Below are 12,700 nucleotides of genomic sequence, written 5' to 3'. Positions count from 1 at the left end.
CAACCCATTGTTCACAGTGAGAGATTTCAGGAGTGAGTTAGATCCACCAGCTTAGTGTGTTCCCCAAACACAAAGGCAGGGAATACACATCAAGCTGTCTAAGTGGTTTCTCCTGCTTTAGGCAAAATGACAGGCGCCTCCCAATTCCTCCCACTTAGGGGGAACTAAGAGTCACAACACAACAGCAGTCATCTCCAAATATCTTTGTGCAAATTCCAAAAACTTCTCTCAAACTCTCCAATCTCTTTTCTAAGCTTAGGGTGTTGGGTGACAGTTAACAATGGAAAAATAGTTTCCTGCTACCTTCTCATCCTGCTTGGTGCTCTAGTCACTTGGTTTCATACCTAAATCAGAGGCTAGAGTTAATGATAATTTATTACATATTTCAAAACAGCTAGAAGAGAAGATTTGAAATGTTCCCAACACAAATAAATGTTTGAGGTGAGGGATATCCTAATTACCCTGATTTGATCATTACATATTGTACGCGTGTATTAAAATATCATACATGGACTCCTTAAATGTGTACAATTATTATGCACCAATTTTAAAAGTCCAATTCCGTCTTAAAATCCTGTCACAGATGAAATAGTATTCAGTAACTAACAGTAATCATATAAAAAAATCTGAAGGACAATTGTAACACATTATTGTTAAAGCTATGAAGAAACCTTTCAAATAATTTTTTTGAAAAGAGACCCAAATAACAATGGAGATAATCTTACTCCATTTAAAAATTTTGCTCCATTGTAAGGTCAAATGTTATGATTTAAGGACATTTATCTGATAGAGAAAATAATGATATGTATAATTGAAAATGTTAACATATAAAATACTCCTAAAATATATGGCCAATCTTTATTTTACTTTGATCTTATCTATTAAATGATATTCAGAAAATGCTTATAATAAGGACCTAGACCACAAGTTAATTGTAATAATAATAATAACAAAAAATATTCTATCTGCTTTGTGTATATTAACTCATCTAGTCCTTACTATACACTGTGTGATAGCTACTATGTTTATCCCCAATTTCCTGATGAAGAAAACAAGGCACAGACAGTTTAGATAACTTGTGAGATTAAGATTCTGTTGTTATTGGCCAAAATTTTTGGTTAGACTCAGAAAACTGAGAGTTGTTATAATGTGACTTTTAAGATTGCAATTTTAGAGATCAGCATCCTAGAGCATGTGACAAACATTTTTTTGGAACCTAAACTTTGTAACATGATTCACTTTAAGTAATATTGACTAGCAGCGTGACTGTTGAATCAGAAGTGCTTCAATAATGTAGAAGCTTAATGTTCCAAAAGCTAGTTATCTATACCTAAGGCCTCTAATCAAAATGTAAATACCTATATAACTCAATCATTTTGAATGAATTAAAGAATCCCTCCTGATTTTGGCTACAGAGTGTGGAAAATTATCCAAGACTTTAAATCAGAAGGCCTGTAATCTAATCTAGTCCCTATGACATATGAGTTGTATGATCTTTAAAAAGTCCCTTAACATCTCCAGGCCATAATCTCCTGGAAGATCAGGTACGCAATACCCAACTATTTGTCCATGATTTTTGTGATTCTAGTATCTTCTGAATCTAGTCACTGGTTAGCACACTGGACTATTTGGTCGAAAGGGTAGCCTAAATATGTAGAAACACAACTTCAAACTCTTTGTAACTTAGGGAAAATCCTTTAGTCTTACTAATACTTCAGCCTTCCTACTCTGGATTATACAAAAGATCAATATGATTATCCAAAAAGAAAGAAAGAAAGGCAACATTAAGAACATCAAGTTTACTTTTTAAAAAAGTTTTTGTACAAAAATTAAGATAAAGAAACATCCTAATACAATCCAAGCAGCATACCCATAAAATGATAGTTTAGAATTTTATAGATTAGGGTTTGAAGGATTTACTTTTGCTGTATCTTTGCAGTCTCTGATATTGAATGTTGAATATTTACAGAACAAGAATTCAAAAAACAGAGGGTGATGAATTTGTGCTCTCTTATCACTAGCAGGACAAATACAGCTATCAAAAATAGAATTTTGTGAGTTACTTAATAACGTGACCCAGGCTTTTATGTAGCAACTGATGCAATAATGCCTGCTTCTAAGGGTTTGGAAATATGCTTTGTGATCTTTTTAAAATAATCAAACATCTTTGGATATTGATGACTGAAGTTTTTATCAAAGTACTGTAGAGAAAAAAGAGATATAATGTAGTACCCCACATATAGTATGTATTTAATACATACTCTTGTTGAAAATTGTATAATATTACTAAGTTAAACTTTAAGCTTCATAATTGTATTATGCCTTATAAAAATATTTTGTAAGGAAGTGTGCTGCAGTATTAACATGTGAACAGTCTTTGTCTCTGTGTAATGGAATTATGTGTGGGGATTCTTTTCTCTACTTTTTTATTCTTAACTGTACTTCCTGATTTCGAAAGCTAGCATATACTTCTTTGATAGCTAAAGACAAAAAAAATTACATTATGATGAGTCTTTCCTCAAGAATGCATTAATGATGTGGGTCATAAACTATGATATGTGATGCTCCTCTCACCTGAAATTTTCTCCTTAGAACTAGAAAAATATATTCTCATATGTGAGCATATTCAGAAAAATATACACTTCCACCCAACGTGGTGTCTGTTGACATCAAGTTTAATTCTATTGCAACTAAACCTAAATATATATTTAATAAAAATCACCCTCAGGTAGTCTTAATTTTTTAAAAATAGACTCATTATATCTAATATATATAAAATTTAAAATGTGGTGTGTATTAGCTTTGTTTATCTAGTTATCCTATTGGTAGTCTGTTTTCTAAAAATCATTACAGCACAATCAATTTTTCTGAGGTGTGATAGTCCCCTTGCTTTCGTAAACCAATGATCATCCTAAATAAACATCAATATTTTTTGTTTTGTTTTGTTTTGTTCTTCTGTTTTGCTTCCTTAGTCCCTATTATTGAGAAAAATGTATTAGTGCTGGGTCTCGGGATTATAGAGTATAAAAATGCAGTGCCTGACCTAAAGTTCATATAAAGTGGGTGAAATGAAAAAGAATGTATCTAAAATTTACAACAACATAAGGCAGCCTCAAATGAGCAATACAGCTGTGGGTACCAAAAAGATCAGCATTTTCTATATAGAGCCTTAAAATTGACAATGCTCTTTGACCTGAGGAATGAGGACAAATATTTAGACATAATGATGTTATTATAGTGAAATGTATAATTTTTTAGAAATTTAAACTTAAACATATCCTAAATATCCAATGTAATATTAATGGTCAGGCAAATTATGATCATTCTTATATTTTCAAATTATACAGTAATATAAAATTATGATTTCAAAGAATTTTCAAAGACATGGAGAAGTATTCAATTTTAACATTTAGTTAAAAATCTGAAGGCTACATATAAATTTGTGAAGAATATTTTAAAAAATTATTCACATACAGTAAAGAATATTGTAAAATAACAAAGTATAATCTCTAAGTTTTTCTTGCCTGATGCTCTTCTTCATTTTCTAAATTTTCTATAATAAATGCAGATCGTTTTTATCACAAGGAAAAAATCTCATAAGGTAGAAAAGATTTCTAAGGGTCAGTCAGGAGTTAAAAAAAAGAAAAGAAAAAAATCATGGAAAAAAACTTTATTATTAAATTTGGGTGATAGGTCCCTAGGTTCACTAGACTATTCTTTCTAATTCTACATATACATGAAATTTGTTTAATATTGATATAGTCCAATCCTTTTGTTCTGCAGTTAGAAAATAAGCCCCAGAATTACACAATTATTAATCAGGGGTCAACAAACTATGCCCCATGAACCAAATGTGGCTACAGCTTGTTTATGTAGTAATTGCAAGATATGATTTTTTTTTTACATTTTAAGCATTTTTTTTAAAAAAAAGCCTAAAATATCAACTATTTGGCCTTTTACAAAAAAAAAAAAAAATTGCTGACTCCAACTCGATTCCTTAGCCTACTGCTCTATATTAGAAGCGAATCTAGTTTTTAAAGAAAATTCTTTAATTTAGTATTTAATCTCCCTTAAAAGAAGTAGGTGCATCCCTTCTTGTGCTGCCCATTCACACCACCTCAAGCACTGGGCCCTCACTCGTTCATGTATTAATTCATTTCTTGATTCCACCACAAAGAGAGACATGTTTCTACCTTTATGAAGATTAGTCTCATAGAAAAGATAGAAAATTAACAGATAAAGAAACAAGCAAAGTAATTACAGATCATGGTAAGTGTCAAGAATGTGATAAACCAGGCTGTGTAAAAGTCAAAGCCAGGTGACCTTCTTTAGGAAAAATTACATTGAAGCTAAGACTTACCAGATGAGAGCAAACAAACTCTGCAAGGAGCCAAGTATCCCTGGGAGATGGAGCACACAGGCAGTACTCCTTAAACAAAATATTTATACAGTGCAGAACACTTTTGGGTAGTGAAGACATTAATGTGTCTTACTTTCAAAGATCTAGTGAGATTACAGCAGATAAGTCGGTGGATTTCATCTTTCCCTTCCTCTGTTAATCAGCCATGAACCTGGTGTCCTGGGAACAATCTCCTCAAACTAGGAACAAAATACAGTATTCAATTCCCACCCCTCACACTTTCCTTTATATGCATTCTCTCTTGTATGGAATTTCAATGAAATCACATGTTTTGATTCTAATTTGTTCAGTTCTTCAGCAAATACAAGCCATCAGGTACAAAGAATGGAGCTAGATCAAGTCTAATTAGAATACCGTTCCTCTTCTAAGAGTGCCCCAAATTAAGCTAACTCTCCATCTTTCCGGTTTGAGATAATGTACTTAGGTAATTTTAATTGAATGTTCCTCAAATGGCATTTTTTCCTATAAATAATACAATAAAAATAACCTGAGGGTCTCAGGTTTACTAATTGGCTTCATCTAGACTGGCTCCGAGAGGAGCAGATGGAAAAACACTGTGGCATTGACATTCTTTTTCAACCACTGCACAAAAAATCCTAGGGACAGAAATAGGAATTTGACTTCATGGCAAAATATAGCTCCTGGGTCCTACTTTTTCCTCTATTGCCTGTTTTCACCACCTGCTCACATCCCTGCTATCCAAGGACTTAGGTCATTCACCAAGTGCACGGATACCAATTCTTTAAATAGGTAGCAATAAGCATTAGAACAGGATGGGACCAGTAGATTATCACAGGCTCATGCTTCCCTAAGCTTATCACCCCAGCCACCCACAGGCCAACTTTATTTTAAAGCTCAGAAGCAGTCTTACTTCTACTAGCCAGAGATGCCATAGCGTGGTGTGAAAGACTCCAAATGAAGGAGCAGTTCTGTGAATCCCTTTGTGGAGGGGGTGTGTGCCCAACATTTGTGGGAACTTCATTATCCCAAGGAACACAGATATGTTCCAGAAGCTATTATTTCCAAATAGCAATGAATTTCTCCTCGAATAGCCTCATAGGGTGTTGACTATATATGAAGTGTTTGATATAAGATTCAAAATCTTCATAAACGACACAAGGTAGTGCTTTCCCTTAAGCTAGAAGCACAGACTTTTTCTATTTTATCAGCTTAAAAATTGGTGTGACCTCATGACCCAAATATGCAGAAGCATGAGCAGGTCTTGTGGACTTTGGACTGCGCACGCTGACAAATTCACACTTTTTCTTAAAGTGCTATTCATTTGTGAGTACTGATTGGCAACTAAAATTAAGTGACTCTTCATCTTCAGAACCTGAAAGCTTAGCATTATGAGATGCAAAAGACAGCTTTCAAACAAGCTAGGCAAAGAAGAAATTATTGAGATCACAGTTCCTTGCAATCATGAATTTGTATAGGATTTCAGCAGCTGTGATCCTTTGTAACATTGTTAAAGAAGTGCTGAGCAGGGAACCAAGATGATGTTAAATGGCACATTGTCCACATCATTAAATAACATCCAATCCCATATAGAGAGAATTATTCCACTTTCAGTTCTCTCTCAGGCTTCCAGGTGAGGAAAGTTAGTTGTTGGAGGTATGATTTAAACACCTCTTCAGGCCCTGCTAACCTTTTTAAGTCCCGAGAGCAGAACTAGAGTGCAGAGCTTTTAGTAGACAGTGTCTATGTAGAAGTTGACCATGATTTCCCTTGTTTGCAATTGTTTTTATAATCACCGACCATTTATGGGAAATGATACTGATATTCCACTTATAAGAACAATATATTTTCTTTTTGATATAAGCTTATTTAAGTAACAAAGTGAATCAATGCATAAAGTCATTAGGTAATTAACAGAATAGATGTCAATTGGACATGGAATTGAAGATACACTGATTTTTAAAATTACAATATCCTCTTAAGGCTCCAATTGACTAACTCACAAAACATCCTATGAACATTTTCCTCCATTAAACATGATATCAAAGTCAGCCTTCCTTTTACAAGCACCCTCACACCCCTACAGGACTACTGCAATCACCTAGTCAACCCTCCTACTCCTTCATAGATGAAATAATTAAAGTCAGAATAGATTTAGTGCCTTGCCAAGTCCCTCAGCTTGTCAGAAATTAAAATTCACAAGAGTGTTGTAAGGAGAAGAATGATTATACAAAATTCCTTACATGCCTCAAACCCGGTGCATTGGATGGGATTATGTTTGGCATATGTTGAACTAGGAAAAGATAGAAGAGCAATTACCCAAACCAAATGTTCTTTATTATGTCTTTATCTGCACATGGGAAGTTTTGCATAACTTAATCAGATCTAGCGGCCATAATAATAGTTAATTCAAAAAGGCAAATTGTAAGTAAACAAAAAAGTTAGATGGGCCTATTGAATAAATTACACATTCTTTAAGGATAAAAGCTCCAAACGGATTAAGGAATGACTAAAGCTGTCACCTAATTACTTCTTGAAAGGAATTTAGAGGTTCCTATAGATGGAAGCAGTGTGTCTGGGCACATGCCCAGAGCCAGAAGCGAGCATGAGCACAGCAATTCCTGGCCTCAAAAAAGGAAATAATGCTTTGCAGTCCATCATTTTGCAAACTTTGCTGGAAAAGGTAAGCAGAGGGTCTTAGAAGTGAGTTGGCATTTTACTCGTTCTCTTTTACAGAAACACACACACACACACAAATGCTTTTTGTTTTCTAATTTTGAAAAACACTCGAATAAGTTTTCTGTTTTGTAATTTTGAAAAACACTGACAAAATGTTTTCTGTTTTCTAATTTTGTCTATTTTCAAATTCAATATTCTTATGAATGACCAAAATCTTACATTATAAAAAGCTTTGCAAAACACATCATTTAAAAAAGCCTATTTGCTTTTGAATGCTTCAAACGTTGATACTGAATAATCCTTAAACATAAAGGGAAATTATTAAAAGATATTATTAAATGCATCAACTTGAAAACATAAATTACTTCTGCTTCCATAAGATAGTTAACAACTTCAAGTGAAATTGGGATTAATTTCCTTGGAAATAGACTTTCAATGGTCAATCTTCCAAAGTGAAACAGGAAGGTGACTCATAATTTACTCATAGTTGTTTCCTTAGAAGAACCATATCATACATTTTTTAAAGATAAAATGTCAGGGCTTTGTAAAAAGTGAAACCAATAAATGAAAGTCAAGAGCCAAGAGCCATTTGCATCTTTCTTCATGATTTTTGCCATAGATACATGCCACCAATATTATTTATTTAGAATTCATTAAATCTCCTGGCTAACACAGTGAAACTCCGTCTCTACTAAAAAGTACAAAAAATTAGCCAGGCATGGTTGCAGGCGCCTGTAGTCTCAGCTACTGGGGAGGCAGAGGCAGGAGAATAGCGTGAAGCCAGGAGGCGGAGCTTGCAGTGAGCTGAGATTGCGCCACTGCACTCCAGCCTGGGCGACAGAGCGAGACTCCGTCTCAAAAAAAAAAAAAAAAAAAAAAAAAGAATTCATTAAATCAACTCACTATTTTTAGTCGTTTATGTTAAAAGCAAACTTTTTCTCACATATGTAAGAAACCCACAGGTTTTGTGTGCTAATTATACTTTTTCTAATGTACATTAAAATAAATGCATAATTATTAAAATAAGAAATACTGACCTATAAACCATCTAATATCATCCTCACATATTTTGAGAAACACTAGGCTATATGATGATAAAGCTAAATTAATATTTGATAATGTTCATATCGTAGCTTTTCCTGTCTTTGTTTCTAATCTACATTTCCACAAAATTTCAACAACTCATTTAGTCTTTATACACAATTTTTATTATTCTTCCTACTTTAGGAACATTATATCTGGCATTCAAGTTGCATACATCTTGTAAAAATTGTAGAAAAATAGCCAATAGAAATAATGCCAACTTCTACAGTATATTAAGCCAAATAAATTCTGCTTTCTAAATTCCAGTCTAAAAACAGATTTTACCAACATGAAGTCACTGATTTTAACAAGATGTGAAGGTGAACAAACTATACAAAATAGATAATTATTTTATATACAATTTAGAAATGAATATTCCCTGCAGCACTGTGTGTTGTTCTCAGGCAACAAAAACTTTAGAAGAGACCAAAGGTAAAATCACATTGAAGAGGATCCTGTTGGTACCTTTTATGGCCCCATAGACTTTCCTTAAACTATCTATCACATAATGAAGGATCTAGTATATAGGTGGAATACAATAGAAATAATGTCTAATAAATACTTTTATTCAATTTCACAAATCAACAACTAGGAAAATACAGTATAGACTCATGAAACACAAGTGACACAGTCAAGAGTGATGTCCTCCATGCCTTGTTGTCAACTTTAAGAACCATGCACAGGAGTCTGATCACAGAACCACTGTTCTGGGTATGGTCCTGGTGACTGGCAAGCTGGTAAAATCTTGAAATGCTACTAAGCAAGGGTAGATTTGGCTAGGACCCAAGGGAACAGGAGCAGGAATAAATACTAACCTGGTCAATTGGAAAATGTACAGGAAAACATCTGAAACAAGTTTAGTTATGAAAAATACACAGTTTCTTCCCTCTTAGAGAGAGGGGAGAAAAAGAAACAAAGAATCAAAGAGAACCACAAAGACGATTACAAACTTGAAATATGAACTTTCCAAAGAGCCATTAAAGAAACTGAAATTACTACTCAGGAAAAAACAGGCTGAATGAGGGTTCATTAATTAATGTCCTTCCGGTTATGAATGGGCTCATTTATGGGAAACAATAACCATCTGGTGTCCATGATTGGTGAAGTTGAGCAGGAAAATAAATGTAACACACAACATGAGGATTTATGAGGCTGATAAGCCTGAGAAGAATAATCATCACAATTTTTGAGTACTATATATGCCATAAAGTTCACCAAATTGAGAATGATAGGACCTTTATTCTAGTCTTTTCTACAATAAATTAAACCAGTGTGATATTAGACAAGTTATGTATCTCTGGACTTAGTTTCCTCATCTATAAAGTTAGTATATTGTGTTAATGTAAAAATGAAGGAAAGATAATGGAACTACAAGCGTCTTCATATTTTTTCTCTGCTGTTTACTGCTTGTATGAATTTGGACATATTTTATGCCTTGGATTCCTTGCCTATAAAATGGAAGTAATAGTAGTAGCATCCTCATAGATTTGTTGAGAAGATTAAATAAATGTAAAGCACTCAGAAAAATACCTAATTCAATTGGAGATAGTTGTTGTTTTTTGCTGTCATTACTGTCATGTGCAAGTAACAGAAGCTAACTCTGACTGGCTAAGTATAAAAGAGTTTATTAAAAGGGTACTGGTTCACAGAAACTTTAGATGTGGAGAATCCAATTCAAGGGTAAGCTTTTAAGAACAAAACCCAAAACCACATCACATAATTGTCATGATAAGGAAATGTTATCTGCCATCACAGAATGCTCAACATTAAAGTTTGCACCATTTGTGGCTTTTGCATCAGAACTCAATTTTAGTAAGGGAAACCATGATTGTCCATGGTTTAGTAAAGGAAACCATGATTTTCCAATAACCATGATGGCCCCAGCTGCAAGGAAGGCTAGAAAAATCAAGTATCTGTCATTTTTAAGTTCTATAGGAGAAGGCAATTTTTGCCCAGATTCCCCAGGTATATAACAAGTTCAAACGCTCAGTGGCCAAAATTAACTCAGTTCATTCAATCTTCATGCTAAGACTTACTGCTTAGAATGATTTATTGAGGAAGGTTTTGTGGCTTTTATCCAAGGTCAAGAAGATGGTAGACAAAATCTCTTGAAGACTCAATGGCTTCATCATGAAGGACTTGAAATATCTGTGATAGGAGGAAATTTCCAAGTACTCTTGACATATAAACTGAGTAACTGGGTAGGCTCAGCATCCAATATGTAAATTAAAGCCACTGGATTTATAGTTAGAATTGTGTCCTCAATTGTTAATTTACATAGGTGAAGACTTTCCACCTATTTGTATATGACTCTAGAGAGACAACGGTTTGTAAGTCTTTGGAAAAATAAAAGTTTCCAGAGTTTAATAAACATTCTCTCATGAAAAACAAAAATCTATATTCTTTTAGTCTGAACTATTAATACATTTGTGCTGCTGGGGAGAATGCTTCCCTTGAGGAAGACATCAGCTAGGAGAGAAAAGAGCAGTTATAACTGGGCTTTATCTATTTTAAACTCCTCAACTATGAAAATAGTACCTGACATATTAGCAACCCAGAGCCCAACTGTCCTTTCTGAGTAATGGACAGCTATTCTAACCCCATGACTAATGCCCATTGCCTGTCTTAAATTGATCTGAACTTCCATTACTGGTACATTCCAAGACCAGCGGGTGGCTCACAGAGCAAATCTCCCCTACTGAGTGAACTACAGGGCATCCCTGAACTGGCCAGACTCTTTACAGTCTCAAAAAATATTCTTTGGATTTTTTTTCAAGTGTTTATAAAAAACAAAGAAAGACAATTAATATGCTTTCTTGCCCAGTTATTTCAGATTGTAAGCAGGTAAATCTTCCTATATGCATCATATGCATAAATAGTTGGATGGCATTTTTAGCAATTATAGCAATCAAGAAAGTTGAAGATATATTTAAACAGGTCAATCTGCTGGTTGCCTATTTATTTTCAAACTATCAAAGCTATTCAAAGCAGAATTTCTGGAATTACCATTTTACTATTATGAGATTAAAGTTTGGTTTCCTCAACTTGAAGGGTAAAAATACCACCCAATGTATAGTAAACTTATAATCTGTTGAATGTTACAGACATCAAAGATACATAAAAATGGGCTCAGAAGCATCATTATCACCGAAATGGAAAGAGTTTGCCCAGGGAGAAGGATGGTAATTTGGCAATTCAGGTTGAGTATCTTTTATCCAAAATGCTTAGGACCAGAAGTATTTTGGATTTCAGACGTTTTTAATTTTAGAATTTTTGCATATACATTATAAAGATATCTTGGAGTTGGGACCCAAAGTATAAACACAGAATACACTTATAATTCATATATACCTTATACACATAGCTTGAAGGTAATTTTATACAATGCTTTTAACGATTTCGTATACCCATCACATGAGGTCAGGTGTGGAATTTTCTACTTGTGGCATCATGTTGGCACTGAAAAGTTTTGAATTTTGGATTTTGGGGTTAGAAATATGAGATATGTTCTTCCAAATATTTTATGTAATAAAATGATCGGAAATTGAAAGGATTTTAAATTGCAGTAGAGAATTTGCTATTTAATGGCATGATACATTTTTTCATAAATAAGGAGTTTTTTTTTTTTTTTTGAGACAGAGTCTTGCTCTATCACCCAGGTGGGAGTGCAGTGACAACATCTCAGTTCACTGCAACCTCTACTTCCTGGGTTCAAGTGATTCTCATGCCTCAGACTCCCAAGTAGCTGGAATTACAGGCATGTGCCACCATGTCCAGCTAATTTTTGTATTTTTAGTAGAGATGGGGTTTCACCATGTTGGCCAGGCTGGTCTCGAACTCCTAGACTCAAGCCATCCACCCACCTCAGCCTCCCAAAGTGCTGGGATTACAGGCATAAGCCACCATGCCAGACCAATAAGGAATATTTTAATGTATGTATCTGTTATAAGTGGCTTCCACGTATCAAAGGAGCAAAATGCAAAAATTAAGCTGATGAACTTTGATGCCTGACTGCCTGGGTTCAAATTCTGGCTTCTCCACTTCCCAACCATGTGACCTTGGCAAATTAATTTATCTGGGCTTTGATACCTTATGTAAATGGGATAATAACTGTCCTTAACCCATGACATTAAGTAATGACAGAGCAGTATCTGACATATAGTAAATGCTATATAGGTATTTGTTTGAAAAGAAGTAAATAAATAAAACTCATTAATGTCTCTGAAAATGTCAATTGCACATTTTTAAGGTAATTCTTGGTTGAGATATAAACCACTAAATTACCAAGGTTTTGGGGTTTTTTTCTATAAGCATAAGTATTTCAATTTCTCAGATTTCTCAGTGATATCAAAGTTTTACTAATGGACAAGAATATTAGGGTAAGAAAAAAGTACAGGAACTCTCTAGGCAAAAATTTAAATATTCAATTAGATTTTAAAAATACTCAGTTGTTTGAAACAAAAAAAGTAATCCAGGCAAAGTAGAAGACTCATATGATATCTTTTTAAGTTATTATTTTTAAAAAACGTGGTATGAATTATTAGAAATAATGTGTGATCA

General features: G+C 33.9%; 1 protein-coding gene across 14 annotated transcripts in view, besides 1 other annotated feature; it reads left to right on the top strand.

The window, feature by feature from the left end:
- The window catches only part of A1CF (APOBEC1 complementation factor), an 86,219-nt gene that overhangs the window by 27,902 nt on the left and 45,617 nt on the right, over positions 1-12,700 (top strand). For 7 of the 14 annotated variants that reach the window (XM_011539729.4, NM_138933.3, XM_047425131.1 and 4 more), the window contains one exon: positions 6,919-7,061. The exons of the other annotated variants lie outside the window; for them this stretch is intronic. In XM_011539729.4, coding sequence (XP_011538031.1) covers positions 6,939-7,061 — 123 coding nt within the window. In that variant the 5' untranslated portion in view covers positions 6,919-6,938. The remainder of the gene's footprint in view (positions 1-6,918; positions 7,062-12,700) is intronic. 14 annotated transcript variants of the gene reach the window in all.
- Positions 7,671-7,871: a silencer, noted in NCBI's record as "peak944 fragment used in MPRA reporter construct". NCBI's record gives its function as "represses an SCP1 promoter by STARR-seq MPRAs in K562 erythroleukemia cells {active_cell/tissue: K562}" and the evidence as "EXISTENCE:reporter gene assay evidence [ECO:0000049][PMID:32103011]".

This window comes from Homo sapiens, chromosome 10 (assembly GCF_000001405.40).
Source record: "Homo sapiens chromosome 10, GRCh38.p14 Primary Assembly".
Classification (NCBI taxonomy): domain Eukaryota; kingdom Metazoa; phylum Chordata; class Mammalia; order Primates; family Hominidae; genus Homo; species Homo sapiens.
This window is presented reverse-complemented; position numbering and strand designations above follow the sequence as displayed.